General features: G+C 45.9%; 3 annotated features.

The window, feature by feature from the left end:
- Positions 11,043-11,337: an enhancer, noted in NCBI's record as "tiled region #5065; HepG2 Activating DNase unmatched - State 8:EnhW, and K562 Activating DNase matched - State 8:EnhW". NCBI's record gives its function as "activates a minimal TATA promoter and a strong SV40 promoter by Sharpr-MPRA in HepG2 and K562 cells {active_cell/tissue: HepG2 | K562}" and the evidence as "EXISTENCE:reporter gene assay evidence [ECO:0000049][PMID:27701403]".
- Positions 11,541-12,433: an enhancer, noted in NCBI's record as "H3K27ac-H3K4me1 hESC enhancer chr16:54228087-54228979 (GRCh37/hg19 assembly coordinates)". NCBI's record gives its function as "activates a minimal SCP1, AML or CMV promoter by ChIP-STARR-seq in primed H9 embryonic stem cells {active_cell/tissue: H9 hESC(primed)}" and the evidence as "EXISTENCE:reporter gene assay evidence [ECO:0000049][PMID:30033119]".
- Positions 16,923-17,217: a silencer, noted in NCBI's record as "tiled region #10961; K562 Repressive non-DNase unmatched - State 22:ReprW". NCBI's record gives its function as "represses a minimal TATA promoter and a strong SV40 promoter by Sharpr-MPRA in K562 cells {active_cell/tissue: K562}" and the evidence as "EXISTENCE:reporter gene assay evidence [ECO:0000049][PMID:27701403]".

Raw genomic sequence — 17,813 nt, forward strand, 5'->3', positions numbered from 1 at the left:
CTTTTAATTGCTCTTTCTTTTGGCTTCTTCTTCCTAGAAGAAGAAGAGTCCTGGGCTGGGCAGGCTGGCAATCTGAGCAGTAGACCATCCTCTTCTCTCACACCAGCCCACTGTCCTAGCACTGCAGGTCCACAGCTGACTTGTCACTTCCTATAGGATGAATGCTTTCCCAGGAAGTCTTAGGGCTCAGTGCAATTTACCCTCCCTGCTCTGCTGGACTCATGTTGGGTTTTCTTTCTTTCTGCTTTTTTTTTTTGAAACTGAGTTTCCCTCTTGTTGCCCAGGCTGGAGGGCAATGGCGTGATCTTGGCTCACTGCAACCTCTGCCTCCCAGGTTCAAGCGATTCTCCTCTCTCAGCCTCCCGAGTAGCTAGGATTACAGGTGTATGCCACCACGCCTGGCTACTTTTTTGTATTTGTAGTAGAGATGGGGTTTCACCATGTTGGCCAGGTTGGTCTTGAACTTCTGACCTCAGATGATCCACCTGCCTCAGCCTCCCAAAGTGCTGGGATTACAGGCGTGAACCACCGTGCCTGGCTCATGTTGGGTGTTCTAACTGAGGGCATCAGTATTCTAGATATTGGAGCCCCCTTGAAACTCCAAAGCATCTATGCCAGAAAAGAGCCTGTTCCTCAAACATAAAATGAACTCCTTTGTCATTCTCAAAGCTAATGATTTTAAGGGTTTAGCATCTTTTGTGAATGCATGACTTTCCAATGGTTCTGTTTTTCTACTCTTGATGGCAAAATATTACTGGATTTGTGATAAGATTTGTTCTGTTGTTTAAAGAAGCAAATACCAAGTGGAACTATTATATCAGTTGAATTCTATCTGAATCCCTTCCCTGGTGGAATTTCATTCTTGCAGACATTGCACAGTTCAAAGTTCATAGACTTGAAACATGAAGATTCTTCTAGAAGGAAATATCTCAGCTCATAGTCCTCGAAAGTGAGTAGAGCTTCACAGAATCTGGGTATGTACACGGCTGCACTGAGAATTAACACATATCAGGCCTTGCTATTGTGAAATAGCTGTGGCGGGTAATGACCATCATTCATTCTATTTTATTAGTTTTTAAATGTGATTCCATTTTGGCTTTGGCAGAGGTGAGGGAACTGACTTGTATTTTCTCTTTATGCTTGATATCCAAAAGCCCCTTTGGGGAAAATGACACTAGCTAAAATCACGTAAATTAAAGAGGAAATTTGCTAAGACACCTTGACAAACTCAAAAATGAAAATACTGAGCTTTAACTCTTTGGTCATCCTGATTCTTGACTCTTACACTCATAATTAGTGAAGGAGGTGTGGAGAGGGCATGGAGCCGGTGTATTCTTTGTATGAGTGGCTTTTTTACACGCAAGTGAAATGATGGTTAAGGTTTAGTGTCCATAAGCAGAAAAGCTAAGCCTGGCATCGCAGATACTTTAGAATAGGAAGCAACTGAATGATGAAACTTCAACTGAACCTAAAAATCCTCCTTAGATCTGTTAAAGTACCTACAATTATGAGATAGGGCACTCAGTGAGGCCAAGTAGTTGGGGGTATTCCCAGGGAAAGAACCCATTCGTTTTTTTCTTTATTTTTAGATGGAGTCTCTCTCTGTCACCCAGGCTAGAGTGCAGTAGCTTGATCTTGGCTCACTGCAACCTCCGCCTCCCAGGTTCAAGCGATTCTCCTGCCTTAGCCTCCCAAGTAGCTAGGATTATGGGTGCACGCCACCACGTCCGGCTAATTTTTTGTATTCGTAGTAGAGATGGGGGTTTCACCATGTTGGCCAGGCTGGTCTCGAACTCCTGACCTCAGGTGATCCACCTGCTTTGGCCTCCCAAAGTGCTGGGATTACAGGCGTGAGCCACCTTGCCCGGACGGAAAGAACCCATTCTAAGTGAGGACTTAAGAAGAGACATTTGGTGCTGAGACAGGAGAAAGCATGGATTAATTGGAAGCACTATGAGTTCAGATCTCATCTGACACTTACTAGGTATGTGACTAATTTTAAAATAGATTGTTTTATCTCTTATTACAAAAGTTTTATAGTTTTTTATAAAAGCGAAAGAAGGGAAAAACACATCCTCAATCTCATACAGAAAACAATTTACTCTTAATTCTTTCATGATTTTCTTTCTAAATCCTCTTTCATGTACAAACTACCTACTCATTACAAAAATAAGATTGTACATGGCATTTAGTAACCCTCTCTTTTATCTTATATATTCTGTACATTGCCGACATCATTTCTGATGGCTGCACAATGTCCCATCTTATATATATGTTTTAATTTGATCAATTCTTCTATTGTCGAACACATAGGTTGTTCTAACTCTTCACAATTACAAAATGGCTGTGATAAATAATTGTAGGTAACTGTTCACCCAAGTTCAAGATTGTAGTATTTTCTTAAGAAAAAAATTCCCCAGAAGTCATATTTCTAGATGCATGAGCACATTATAATTTTCCTACTTGGAGTTTGTTGAGATTTTTGAACATATACATCCATGTTTTTCATCACATTTGGGAAGATTTTGGCCATTATTTCTTCAGATAATCTCTCTGCCTCTTTCTCCCTCTCTCTCTCCCTTCTCTCTAGGGCTCCCATAATGCATATATTAATCTGCTTAATGGTGAGCCGTAGTCCCTTAGGCTCTTTCACTTTTCTTCATTCTTTTTTCTTCTCAGACTTGATAATTTTAAATGACTTCTCATTAAGGTCACGGATTCTTTCTTCTGCCTGTTTGAGTCTGCTCTTGAGTGAATTTTTCAACTCAGTTATTGTTTGTCACCTTAACAATTTATTTGGTTGTTTTTGTTATTTATAATTTATATCTCTTTGTTGGTAATTCTGAATTTGTTCATATATTGTTTTCCTGATTTTCTTTAGTTCTTTGTGTTTTCTTTGAGCATGTTTAAGGTACTTGTTTTAAAGTCTTCACCTGCTAAGTCTGATACCTGTGTTTCTCAGGGACTGTTCCTGAAGATTTACTTTGTTCTTTTGAATGGGCTATGTTTTCCTGTTTCTTTGTATGCTTTGTGATCTTTTGTTGAAAATTGGGCATTCAAAAAAATCAGCTACCTCTCTCAGTCTTTGGAGATTTGTGGATAAGGCCTTCACTAATTAGCAGGACATGTTCTGAGCTTTGGAATCAGCCTAGCATAAAGGCTTAAAGTCTTCCAAGGCCTTTTCTGAATATATGTCTTACCTAGGCCTGCATGTGTGATTTTTTTCCCGCAATCTCCTGTATACATGGTTGCTTTTAAATATCTTAATTTTCCCAAGAGTCTCACCTGTTTCTTCTCTGGGCCTTAGCTATTTTATTAGACTTATCCATCAGTCATCTTTGTCTCAGTTGTCTGCAGGCCCCGCTTGCTCCCTTGCTGTTTTCATGAGCCATTCTAGCTACTTCCTGCAGCCCCTTCTAGCCTGAGGTCCAGGTTGTACCGTTGTTGGCTTTCTGAGCTCCAAATTAGGTGATACAGACACCGATCCCTCAGGCAGCCCCCAGATGGGTTAGACCATTGCAAATTAGATCCACTCTGCTCTCTCTGGTTTAAAGTCAGGAACTGGGGATTAAGGTGTCATTTCTCTCAAACCATGCCATGCCACACTAGAGAGGCGGTAAGGAAAGAATGAGTAAAAACACCATGACATTTCCTTCCATCTGAATGTAGATTTTTCTTGATTCGGCATTTGCTTGGTTGTTGTAGATTTTTGTTCATTTCCAGAACTCCTATAAAGTTATTGTAGCCAATCTCTAATTGTTTAATGTTGCCATGTAAGAATAAGTGCCTGGAGGTTGCAAGTCTGCCATCTTGCCAATGTCATTCCTGAGCATACGTATTTTTAAGGTTCTTGATAAAATAAGAAGTTTTGAGGACTGTAAGAATCCTGTATCCTTTGAACTAGCATTTGCCAAAGTTTGGAACACAAATTTCTCAAGATGCTCTGGAAAAGAGGTGGGGAGGAGGAGGGTTTCCTAGTAAAACAAGCTTGGGATTTACAGTAGACTATGTTCCCCTCTGTGATACTGCCTGTGGACAGAGGCATATCGAAAGCTCTGGAAAGTCCTGCAATAAAGAAACCCATTCGATTCTATTAAAGCCAGTATTCTCAGACTTGATTGATCATAAAGTACTTTTGTTTTCCAAAGGATCAATCTCCTCCAGAACTTATGTTTCTGAATAAAATGTGGGAAATGCTGCTTAAAGCTTACTGAGAACTCATGAGGGCTCCTAATTTTCATGTAGCCAAGCTGAAACAAATTTCGTGATGTTTTCCCAAATAGTCAAGGGGCTAGAGCAAAGCCATAGTGAAACCCAGGTCTAAAATCCTCGTGAGTGCAGCTTGCAGCCCTGCTTCATTCATTTCACCTGTTTCTAGAAGCCCCTAACCCCCAGTTTCCAGGAAAGGAAGATGTTTCAGACAAGGCAGGATTAGACAACACCAGACTTATGACAATGACTTCTTCTGGAACGTGTAAAGAGATTGTCTCAAATATAACATCTGTGTTCTTAGAAAACATTACACTATTTTCTCATTGACTTTTGTGTTTTGATACCAAAAAAAGGATTCTCAGGCAATTGTTTTTGGTTTTTTGATATTGTGTGTGTTTGTGTGTGTGTGTTTTAGGCATTAGCTTGCTTCACGGTCTGCACAAATCAGATTCCATGGGTCAGTTTCAGTCCCCGGCATGGGCTTATCATCTTCAACACCTGCCACCAGATCTGTTTGTCTTCTACTTTGGACTCTCATGAGACTTGCTATATTGTATGAATTTCACTTTCTTAATTTTGATGAGAGCCAATGACATTTTCTTTCATTGTTTGGTGTATCTGTGTCTTTTCTCCTCAATTAAGGGAATAGAATGCTCAAAGACAGTTTACTTAGCCAGGAAAACAGAAGTCATTCTATGTACTCAAGGTATGGAGGCTTTAATGTTGGGATTCGAGGGATGCACAACGATTGGAAGAGCTGGGAGAATGAAAGTGAGATCCTCAGCCTGAAGCACTTAAGTGAGTGATTCTCCAACAGCTTGCTAGGAAGGCTGGGCAATTCTCAAGAAAGTCTGGGAAGCTCCTAACACCTCCTTCTACAGCACCAAAGTGAGTTATTCTCAAAGTTCTTCAGAAAGCTGCTGAAAACCTCCTGTCATCTTATGCACTTGGCTATAACTGCCTTCAAAGAAAAATGGCACCTTCTCTTTCACTTTCCCAATATCACACCTGTGCTTCTCATAGGCAAATTCTAACCTAGAGCCACATGGGGAAGAGGCTTCTGGGAAATGTAGCTCCTAGCTGCTCCCTGCTACAGGGAGAAGGAGACCCTTCTCTTGGAAGGAGAATGTGGTGATGGTGAGTTAACAACAGACAGCAATAGTGGAGCTAAAAACCACTCTTGGCACAATAATTGGCACTAACTAATTACCTGATGGAAATGAATGGGTGGAAGTCAAATCATTGTAGGTGTAGTTGGCCAGTTAGATCACTCTATCTAAACATCGCTGTCTTGATTGATGTCTTAACTTATATTTGAGCACTATATTATTATTTACTTAATTCTTTTAATCTAAATCTTTACTCTTTTATTTAAATAAATTATTTCAAGAAACTTTATGTCCATTCCACAAATGAAAAAGCAGTATTATTTTTGGCAGAGAAAAGATACCTGTTTTACAAAATGAAAACCAAACGATGCTGTAATTTCCCACTAAATACTGTTGCTCTCACCCAATCCTATCCCCTCACCATCACAATGCCCCACCAACTCCCATTTTGACTGGAGTAGGTTTGTTTTTATGTGATTTATAGCCTAGGGGTTTCCTCCTCAGCTAAAAATCATCCTGCTGTTGACCAGTAACTAAAAATATCAGAGACCCAATCACATTGATACATTTGAAGGTGCTTTAATGAGGTGAAAGCAATGAAACTTCTAGCTGGAGCTTCGTTTGACTGGAAGGCCACCATCTCACTTGAAGTAGATGAAGAAAGTGACTCCATGCTGTTCTGAAAAAGGAGATCTAGGGCGAGTGCGGTGGCTCGCGCTTGTAATCCCAGCACTTTGGGAGGCTGAGGTGGGCAGATCACCTGAGGTCAGGAGTTTGAGACCAGCCTGGCCAACATGGTGAAACCCTGTGTCTACTAAAAGTACAAAAATTAGCCAGGTGTGGTGGTGCACGCTGGTAGTCCCAGCTACTTGGGAGGCTGAGGCAGGAGAATCGCTTGAACCCAGGAGGTGGACATTGCAGCAAGCTGAGATTGCACCACTGTACTCCAGCCTGGGTGACAGAGTCTCTGTCTCAAACAAAAACAGAAAAACCAGGAGATCCACCTTGTGTAGCATCCTCCATGCACAGGTCTTGGGATCTTTTAGGGGAAAGATTTTACAAAAAAAACCACAACAATCTGTCAATGGGAATTTTCCATTTAAGTGAAGTCACAGCTGTTATGGCATTTCAGAATGGCCAATATGGCCAGCCCATTACTCTCATGATGGCTGTGGGTGGGCAGGGAGGGTGTGATACCCTACACTTGGGCTGGGGAACTTCCTTACCACCCTTGCTTCATACAAACTTGGAAAGGTAAAGCAATGTATCCAGTTTGTACAGGTAGCCAAGGGCAGAGCTGGGATGGGAACTCAGGCTGGTCTAACCACTGTACCACGTGGGCTCTTGTTGAAGGATTCCAGGAGGCAGCGACCATGCTTTGTGGGGTCAGCTCAACTGGAGTGAAGAACACGAAAGGCGAGAACTTCTGGAGCTCTGTGATACACTTCAGGGCATTGAGCAAAGCTGAAAGACTGTGACCTAGATTTGTCAGCCTCTGAAATTGTGCTTTATAAACTGGTTTTAGGAGATACTCTTTGCTCCTGGTGGAATTTAAGCTCCAAGACCTATTCGGCAACTTGTTTCTTCTCAAATAGCTCTAGTTCAGGAATCCTTGCTCCTCAGATAACTCCCAAGTCTGCATTTGTTGTGGTCACTCACTTCTTCTCAGGGAGTTCTCAGGAGAGAAGAGACCCAGGCCACAGACAGGGACAGAGGTGTAGTCTGTGAGTCACCTGGCATGGAGACGAACAGGCAGGTGATGGAGCTGGTGCTGGCTGACACACTGGAATCTGCCTTTGCGTACACAAAGGAGTCTTTGCTTCTAGAGCCCATGACTGGCTTCCAGTGTCCTTTCCCCTCAGTGATATTGTTATTTGAGCTGAAGCTTTAAGTAATGAAATTTACAAACATAGATGAGGAGGCTACTGTGTTCCAGGCACAAGAATAGGGGCATCAGTATGTATTTCTTTGGCCAATGATGATAATAGCCATAAGAGGATAACATACCCATTAACATGGTTATCATCCAAACAAAACAAAACACAACAGAAAATAAAAAGTGTTGGCAAGGATGTGGAGAAATGGGAACCCTTGTCCATTGCTAGTGGGAATGCAAAATGTGGTGGCCACTGTGGAAAACATTATGGCCATTACTCAAAAAATTAAACATAGAATTACCATGTGATCCAGCAATTCCACTTTTAGGTATATCCCTAGAAGAATCGAAAGTAAGGACTGAAACCTACATTTGTACGCCAGTGTTTATAGCAGCATTATTCACAATAGCCAATAGGTAGAAGCAACCCAAATGGCTATCAATGAATGAATAAACAATATGTGACATATACATATAATGAAATATGATTCAGCCTTAAAGGGAATGAAATTCTGATACATGCTACAACATGGATGAACCTTGGAAACCTTATGCTAAGTGAAACGAGCCAGACATAAAAGGACAAATACTATGATTCCACTTATACGAGGTACACAGGACAGTCAAATTCAGAGAGAAAGACAACAGCATGGTAGTCCCCATGGACTGGGGGTGGGGAAAAGGGGAGTTGTAGTTTGGTGGGTATACATTTTCAATACGGGAAAATAAAAGTTTTAGAGTTACTTTTGGAGACAGATCACGTTGCACAACAATGTGAATGTGTTTAATGCTACTGAATTGTACACTCAGAAACGATGAAAATGGTAAATTTTATGTTATGCATATTTTACCACTATTTTAAAAAAGTTATTTACTCTTTTTATAATTGACGAAACAGGCTCTGAGAAAGGGAGACAGCATAAAAGTTTAACCTTTTGAAGTCTGGGCATGTCTTCCTTGTCTCTTTGCTTAGTCCCTTATCTAAGAACTTCTTCAAAAAGCATTTATGGATTATCTTATAAATGCAAAACACACTCACCCACACTATGTGCTGGGGGCTGGGAGAGCCTGGAGGACTCACATTTAGCAGGGGATGTGTTAGAGAGTGGGGGAGAATGGGGAATGAAGACCTGGGTATGATGGTACCTCGGAAGGCAGAATGTCATCAGGGCTGAGGAAGGTGGAAAGAGGGGTTGGGAAAGGCAGGGAAGTGGAGAATAACTTCTAGGTGGGGAGGCAAGGAGATCCAGAAGCACTTTACAGAAAGAGTGGGCAGGATGTTCTAAGAGGAGTTAGGGATTCCAGGAGGAGGATACAGTGTTAACATGGCAACAAGAATGAGAATATGAACAGTGCTTACTCCATACCAAGTGGTGTTCTCAGCACTTGATACGCATTATCTCCTTTTATCCTCATAACCTCTCAGAGAGGCAGGAATTTTTATTATTCTCATTTTACAAAGGAGGAAAGAGAAGCCCAGAAAGGTTAAGACACCTGTCAAAGGTCACACAGCTAGTTTTAGCAAACATGCAGTTGGGTGGGTGGTGTTCAGGGATCTTTAAGTCATTGAGTTCAGCAGGAACATGGGATGATAGAAGGGAAGTGGTAGAAACAATACAGGAAGTTATTAGAGTCATATCCTCTTAAATCTTCAGTGCAGAATGATAGGGTGGACAGTGTTTTAATAATTGAATTAACCAGCCAGACGCAGTGGCTCATGCCTGTAATCCCAGCGCTTTGGGAGGCTGGGGCAGGAGGATCACTTGAGGCCAGGAGTTAGAGATCAGCCTGGGCAAAATACTGAGATGCCATCTCTACAAAAAAATTAAGAAAAAAATTAGCTGGGTGTGGTAGCACATGCCTGAGGCCCTAGCTATTCAGGAGGCTGAGGCAGGTTGGTTGCTTGAGCCTGGGAGCACAAGGCTGCAGTACGCAGTGATTGCGCCACTGCACTCCAGCCTGGGCAACAGAGCAAAACCCTGTCTCAAGAAAGGAACCTGTCAAAGGTCACACAACTGGCTTTAACAAACATGCTGCTGGGGTAGGGACTGACCTCCGTTTTCAGGGATCTTTAGATCACTGAGCTTAGAAGAACATAGGATGATGGAAGGGAAGTGGTAGAAACAAGACAAGAAGGTATTAGAGCCAGATTCTCTTGGATCTTCAATGCAGGATGATAGGTTAGATACTGTTTTAATAACTGAATGAACCAAATTACACTCTCTTCTGTTCCGAAAGGAGTTAGGGAAGGAGTAGCAAGTGAGAATCTTCATGGAACAGGTGAGGGAATGGGAGGCCAGTGGCTAGGAGAATGAGGGTTTAGAGTCAGGAATGGTGGTGTTCAGTGCTGCTGATTATGAATATTCACCACATAATATCAGGAGGTGGGGCTCACTGGGGCCATCTTGAAGGTAGTAGCCAGCTTTCAAGATGGCACCAGTGAGTGCCACCTCTTGATATTCATGCCTTTAAGGACATCCCTCTCATACTGAACAGAGATGATGTGTGTAGCCAATAGGATATGGGGCAAATGATGGCATACAACTTCCAAGGCCAGGGCATACAAGGCATTGTGGCTTCTGTCTCGCCTCCACTTGGATCACTTGCTCTGGAGGCAGCTGGCTGCCATGTTGTAAGGACACTCAAGCAGCCCTATGTAGAATTCCACCTGGAGAGGAATTGGGGCATCCTGCCCACAAACATGGAAGTTAGCCACCTTGGAAATGGATTCTCCATCCCCAGTTGAGCCTTCAGGTGACTGCAACCCCACTGACATCATGACTACAACCTCATGAGAAAGCCCGGGACTTACATCACTCCAAATTCCCGCTCTCAAATTCCTGACCTAGAGAAATAGTGTGAGATAGTTACATGTTGACTGTTTGTTTAAGCCACTGCATTTGGGGCTTAAAAATTACCCCAAGGTAATTTTTTATATAATTCAGATGAAATAAATAGCTACTGTAATAGCCAAAATGACTCCTTCTTTGGCCTCTGTCTAGACAATAATGTTTCTTTCAGAATGAAAAAAATGCATGGGTCATTAGTACCTGAACTTTAAGCTTAAGGAATATTTCATTCTAGCAAGGAGTAGAGGAAGCTCACAGAATAATTTCTACATGCTGACACTCCTGATACTGTACTCTACACTTCTTTAACTCATGGTTTCTCACCCTGGGCTGCCAACTGCCTCACACAGATGTGGCTGTGCTCTCTGGCTGAAGGAAACCTTCAAGGGCCAGAGGAAGGCATCCATGGAGAAAGGATAACATATAATGCTGGATAGAGATGGGATAGCAAAGAAATTCCTTTCTTTTCCAGAACTGCAGGTGCATTCCCACCAGGATCCGTTAGTCTGCCTGCCTGGCCGGCCCCTGTCACTGGCCGGCCCATGAGCTCCTTGGGGGTAGGGGCTGAGCCTCATTTTCTTTATGATTCCAGACCCTGCTGTGTTGTTTAATCTTGGGTGGTATATGACCGTGGACTCAACCAGACCCTGGTGATGGACCCTGGTTTCCAATTGTTTTGCTGTTATGAAGAATGCTGCTAAGAACGTCCACTGAAAAGTTTTGTGTAGTGTATCCATAGTGTAAAATCCTGTCAATAGACATCTACATAGGGTGCTCTAGTTCTTCACTTTCTGAATTTGAGGAGATACCCCTTAGGGCAGGAGACGCAGGAGTCGTAAGGGGAGGGCAGCAGGAAGATAGACCCCTCCTCCAGAGGAGGACAATCGTGCCCTGAGGCAGGGGGATGGCAGAGAGGCTTCCTGGAGTTCCTTCCTCATTGCCAGTGGGTCTCGTTTTAAGTAAACAAAGGCTGTTGGGAGAGGGTGGAGCCAGGTGGAGGGGCCCATGTGGCTTGGGCAAGACTGCCAGCCGCACGCCATTGCCAATCCTGGCTCTAGGGGGTGTGCGGTGGATGCCAGCCTTCAGCCCTCCTCTTGGTCCTCTGCTTCCGGCCTTTCCCTCTGCAGTGCCCCCGAGCGGCCTGATGGTGTCACCAGAGCGCACTTCTTCCTGGAAGGGGCCTGGGCCCTAGAGAAGCGGCCACGGAAGACCTGCGTGGACCGGGCGCCCATGGCACCTGGAAAGGAATCGGAGGCAAGGACACAACGGGGGTGTTCTGAGCCGAGAACACAGGAAGGAGTTCCGGCCCAGGGTCATGAGACGTCCTTGTCCCCTTTTTTCTCTGTTGGGTTTAGTTTTGAGAAGCCATTCATTGTCAGGAGGGAGTAACATGAGACTCTGAGGCCAAATGTGTAACAATTTGCGGCTGAGTGTTCTCTCTCCCCACTCCCTCCCTCCTACTCTGCCTGTGCTCACGCCCCTTTCAGAATGTGCCTTTGGCCCAGCGATCTGGCCTTCCCAGTCTTCTGGGTGCTGCTGGGCACTGCTGGAGGAATAGGAAGAGGACTTGGGCAGGCGCCAGCCCCATGCAGTATGCGCGAATGTGACTCTAAGGCACACAGCATGTGCCCCCGACAGCCCAGACGGGTGTGGGCAGCCCCGGGCCACACGGGCCATGGCGGAGAGTTGCTGCCCCTCCCTACCCAGCAATTAAGCCGAGGCTGTGACAGCGACGTGGGCCGGGTGCTGTCTGGGGTTTCCTTCCCGGGCCGGTTGTGTGTCCAGGCCCCCGGGGAATCTGGGATAAGACACTGGGGGCGCTGCCGTGGGAAAGGCCAAGGGACACCGTCTGGACGGGTTCCCCGAGACCACGTGCTCTAAGCCCCGAGTCTGATCCCAGGCAGGGTGCCCCGCCTCTCCCAGCTCCGTCTCTGCTCCCCACGGGACCTGCTGTCTCCAGCAGACCTGGAGGTGAGCCCAGCCCCTGGCCGCGGAACTGGGAGAGAAAGGCCTTCCTGGGGCCTGGGAGGAGCTTTGCGAGTCAAAGCCTCTGCACAGGCGCTGGCCTCCTTCCGCTGTCTTTGTGTGGCCCCCATGGGAATGGTGTCCTGGGAGAGCTGCGAGTGCCAGTGTGTTTTCAGACAGAATGACAAGGAGGAGAAGGAAGAATGGGAGAAGGAGGAGGGAGAAGAAGAGGGACCGGAAACAAAAGGGAGGAAGGGGCAGCTTTGGGCAGCGTGGGCGTAGGCATAGGAAATGCAGCCCCATGCAAGATGACCTTCTGGAAACCATACTACACAGTGTAAAAACGCCTCAGCGCAATGGCAATGGGAAGGAAAGAGCGATCCCTGGGGCAGGCCACAGGGAGGCCTGCTGGGGTCTCAGTGGCCAGAGCTCAGCTGGAGACACCCTGCCTGAGAAGCCAGGCCTCTCCGTCTGGCAAGGGAAGAAGAAAAGACTCTCCATCGGCCGGGCGCGGTGGCTCAAGCCTGTAATCCCAGCACTTTGGGAGGCCGAGGCGGGCAGATCACAAGGTCAGGAGATCGAGACCATCCTGGCTAACACGGTGAAACCCCGTCTCTACTAAAAATATAAAAATTAGCTGGACGTGGCTGCGTACACCTGTAGTCCCAGCTGCTGGGGAGGCTGAGGCAGGAGAATGGCGTGAACCTGGGAGGCGGAGCTTGCAGTGAGCCGAAATCGCGCCACTGCGCTCCAGACTGGGCGACAGAGCGAGACTCCGTCTCAAAAAAAAAAAAAAAAAAAAAAAAAAAAAAAAAAAAAAAAAAAAAAGAAAAGACTCTCCATGATGGTCGTGCGGGCAGAAACATTTGCAGCACGTGCAATCCCTAACCCGCACTGATCTGCCCTGTCTACACTAGGCTCCCCATCCACCCTTACAGCTCACCCAGAGATGTGGGACAGGCGAGAGGGCAGCCAGAGGGAGCGGTCCTTCTGTGTTTTTCAGCTGGAAAGGTCTCTCGCGCTGCTTGGAGTGCACTCAGAGAAGAGGATTTGTTCCCTTAATTGATAATGAATATCAGAAAGGTCATCTTTACATTATGAGCGGGGTGGGAATTGTGTGTGTGCAAAGGGTGGGGAAAAAAATCACAAAAATAAATGACATCCAGCACTCTGTGTTTGCATCTCCAGAAGGGGCAGGGAGATGATGAATCCAGGGGGACTGAGAAGCTCGAAGCGGCAGAAATAAAGGGGAGATAATAGAGGGGGAGCAAGAGAGGCAGAGCAAGAGGGGAAAGTGAGAAGAGAGGGAAGGAGGAAAGACAGGCCTAGGAGAGGAGGTCCAGAGAGGGAGGGAGGCAGGATGGAGGGGAGAGGTGGCCAGGTGGGCTGTTCCCATCACAGAAGCCCATCCCGCCTCCTGGGGCATGAGGGATCATTTCTCAAATACTGCAAGTGGCCAAAGTGAAGTGCACATAGGATCATGCCCCTCTGCCTTGTTCAATAGTTCCGTGGGTCCCCATTGACCTCAGGAGTCCAACAACACAGTTCCTCAACATGGTTCACTGGACCCTGGATGGTCCAGCCCACCTGGACCTACCCCTGCATTTCCTTGACTAGGCTCCTCCTCCAAAAAGTCTTACCAGATTCCTAAGAGCTTCCTCTATGTGCTGGCCTCCCTGTCTGAGACATCGCGCTGTGCTGTAAGTGCCTGTTAGGTGTCTGTGTCTGCCAGGAGACTCCATGCTGCCCGAGAGTGGGGACCCATCTTAGTCACCATCGCATGCATGCACAGAGTCACCTTTGCATGCATGTTAGTCCATTTTTCGTTGCTACAAAGGAACACCTGAGGCTGAGTAGTTTATAAAGAAAAGAGTTTTATTTTGCTCATGGTTCTGCAGGCTGTACAAGAAGCATGGTGTCTGCATCTACTTCTGGTGAGGGTCTCCGGGAGCTTTTACTCAAGGTGGAAGGTAAAGGGGGAGCAGGTGTGTCTCCTGGAGAGAGAGAAAGGAGGTCCTAATTTCTTTAACAACCAGATCTCATGTGAACTAACAGAGTGAGTGAGAACTCACTCATCACTAAGGGGATGGCACCAAGCCATATGTGAAGGATCCACTCCCATGACCAAAACACCTCCCACTACAACCTACTCCAACATTGGGGATCGCATTTCAACAGGAGATTTGGAGGGGACAAACATCCAAACCATATCAGTGTGTATCTGGGCTGTGCATGTAGGACATAATTGTTGAATTGTGTGGAACCATTTAACCTCTTCTAGTAGAATCCCCACAAAAGGGTGTTCTTCCTTTTTCTTATATTTGGGGAAAAGGCCTTAAGGAACAGAGCATCTAGTTCCTGCTGGAGGTTCAATGTGGGGAGCGGATAAACCAGCTGAGCCTCAGTTTCCCTGAGAGTCATATTTTGGATGGAAAATAAAACATCCACAGGAGAGGTTCCTTGTGCCCCAGGGCATTGGCAATGGGAGAGTCCAAGGGCCTCCCTCTTCTCTCCCACTGACCTCACTCCTGACCCTGGGCAGGACAGGAGGGCAGGTAGCTGCACATGGGGATGAGCCTGTCATGCGACCATCACAGAGAGGGCCCTCCACTGAGGCTGACACATGCCACCTCAAACAATTTGGTGCTTCTTGATGTCTTTGATGACAAAAGTCAAGAGCTGGTGACTTGGGAACACTGCTTCCAGCTGGCCCCCTGACTGGGAAGCCTGGCATGGCATCAGTGGGTAGAGGACTGATGAACATCAGGGATAACCCAGTTTTCCTCAATATAAAAAGGTGGGAAATTATCAGTGTAGGAAGAGAGCTGTGTATGTGCAGGTGTGGGTGTGTGTATGTAGATCTATGTAAGTTGAGTGTGTGTAAGAGTGTGTGGTGTGTGTATGCACATATGTATGTGTATGCATGGGTGTATAAGTGTGTGTATGTATATTTGTATATGTGTGTACGCATGTGTGTATGTGTATGCGAATGTGTGTGAGTGTGTGTGTGTGTGTGTGTGAGACAAATGAACACCTGGGGATGGTGATGGAGGAATATGGGGTTCTCAGACTTTATTGCTCTCCAGACAGAAGAGGGGAATTATTTTTTTTATTTCTATGAATGCTTTTATCACTTTTCTTACAAAAAATATAATCTAAAAATTATTTTTGTGTGTATTCCTTTCCATAAGTGGTATCATATGACAGCCATTTGTTCCTGTCAAAATAGATTTGGCAGCGGGTGAGGGAGAGAGAGCCACCCCTCTGGCCATGCCGATTAAGTGGGCCAGTTGAGGGCACGGGGGCGCCCAGCCTGCTCTGCAGGACGGCTTGGGAGGCAGAGGCTCTTCCAAGAGCCCAGACAGGGTGGTGGAGTGGAGGATGTGGGAGATTTGAACCTCCATGTAAGTGACCATGTTTATTCTATGTTTTCATTGCAGAGTCAGGTGGGGAAGGCACAGTGTTCAGAACATTCACTGTGCCATTCTCTGTGCCCATCATAGCAATTCCTTCTCCATGTTCATGGAACACCTCCTATGGGCAGCACAGTTCCAGGCACTGGGGACACAGTGATGTATAGAGGAGACAGTCTGCTTATTATAGTTTATAACAATATTCTAAAATTATAAACATATATGAATACAATTTGGCTCTGTGTCCCCACCCAAATCTCACCTTGAATTGCAATAATCCCCACAGGTAGTGGGAGGGACGCAGTGGAAGGTAATTGAATCATAGGAGCAGGTTTTTCCCATGCTGATCTCATGATAGTGAATAAGTCTCATCAGATCTGATGGTTTTATAATGGGGATTTCCCCTGTACAAGCTCTCTTGCCTGCCACCATGTAAGACGTCCCATTGCTCTTCCTTTGTCTTCCACCATGATTGTGAGGCCTCCCCAGCCATGTGGAATTGTGAGTCCATTAAACTTCTTTCCTTTATAAATTACCCAGTCTTGGGTATGTCTTTATTAGCCACATGAGAAGTGACTAATACATGTATTGAGTAGTATATTTTATAATAAAATACGATATTGTCTATCATAAGCATTTGTTTATTGTTTTATTTAATGGTAATAATAATAATGGCTTTCATTAATGAACCTCTCATTATGTTCAAGGCTTTACCTCCATCATTTGCTTTAATCCCCACAGTAGCCTTTTATGGGATATTCAATATCTTCATTTTACACACATGAAAACTGAGGCTCCTGGAAATTAAGTGGCCCAGGCTGAGACTGAGTGTAGGACCAGACTTTCAATCTCAAGAAGTCTAACCACCATGTTTATTATGCATCAGAGTGTCTCAGAGTGTAAACTCTAGGCCCTCCTCTGAGCGTGCTGGCATTCAGGGGCTGACTGCTCTGAAATACCTGAGTCCCAGGGAGGATCACCGCACACATCAGGGAAGCCCGGTTTCATGCAAGACGCCCTGCAATTAGTCAGTCCCTGCTTTTTGATTTAATTCTTCCCCTAATGTGTGTTCATCATGTAACTCAGGAAAGATTGGTATTCAGGGAAGGAGCATCAAAGATGGTAATTAAACTGTCTCTGCTGATGCGCTCAGTCTCTGGGAACAGACCTGTTTGATTCCGCAAAGGAAATCATTGGTATTTTAACAGGAGGCAGGAAACTTTTGATTAGCGAGTGATAGATAAACAGATCGATGCCTTTTCTGGCGACATTTTCAGCTTCATTATTGTCACTGGAAAAGAGATGGGGGTGGAGGGAAGATGAGAAAAGTCCTGGTGGGTCCTCCAGGGTCTGAAGGCGGGGAGGGGCGTGCAGGGGAGGGGGCAGTGCCAGGCTGGGCACGGGGCCTGGGGCTGGCAGGCTTGGGGCCTTAGGAAATCAAGGCTGGGCCCCTGTCCCTGAATCGGGGGTGGTGGGAGGGGAAGACTGCAAAGGACACTGCTGCGCGGCTTTAGAGCTGCCCCAGACAGGGGCCTGATGAGATTCTGCTGGCAGCGGAGCTTTTCCGTGATCGTCTAAACCTGTGTTCCCAGCCTCTGCAGCACCCCCCACTTGATTGCTGCTCTCTCAAGGTCAGGGGGAGTTAAGACCAGAGATTATGCAGTGTCAGTCGCGCCTTTTTGAAATATGACTCAGTGTAATCTCTTTCCACACCAGAGGAGAGATGCCAAAATCGCACTTCAATCTCTAGCTCGCAATGGGCTTATTGGGATTTTAGCGGGGCTCTGGCTAGATAAGATCGTTTCTTCTCCCAGGGTGCCCTTTTACAAACTTTGGATAAGGAGACCATAACTTAGCGAGGGCAGATTTCCAGGTGTCGGGGACCCTGTGCCCAGCTGACAGAGCAGGGGCCGGGCCACCCAGTACCATTGGTCCCGACACCAGGGCAGGAGGGACAAGTGGGCTCTTGCAGTATGTGTCTCCCCCTGACAGCCACACACGTGCAAAAATCCCAGCTCATCTTCATCTTTCTGACCCTCATTGTCCTCGTGTGCAACATAGAAATCAGCAGGCTCCCCTCTCAAGGTCATTCTGACGTTTAGCAATGACATAGGAAAAGCCTCTGGTTCCTTTATAGGTGCTAATCAATGGGAAGTCCATTCTGTTTTCCCTGGTTTTGACCTTTGTATTTTTAGATACCTTGTGGAGGGTGGGGGAAAAGTAAAAGGCAGCCAGAAAGTTTCATGATGGTACCTGGGACACATAGGTAGCTGGCAATTTGCCAACCCCTACCTTCCCCAAGCACATTAGAGACATCCACCTGCAATGCAATCCTCCCCAGAGATATCGAGTCTCTGTGGTGCAGTCACTATATGGCCCATGTGTCTGC

Source organism: Homo sapiens, chromosome 16 (genome assembly GCF_000001405.40).
Source record: "Homo sapiens chromosome 16, GRCh38.p14 Primary Assembly".
NCBI lineage: Eukaryota > Metazoa > Chordata > Mammalia > Primates > Hominidae > Homo > Homo sapiens.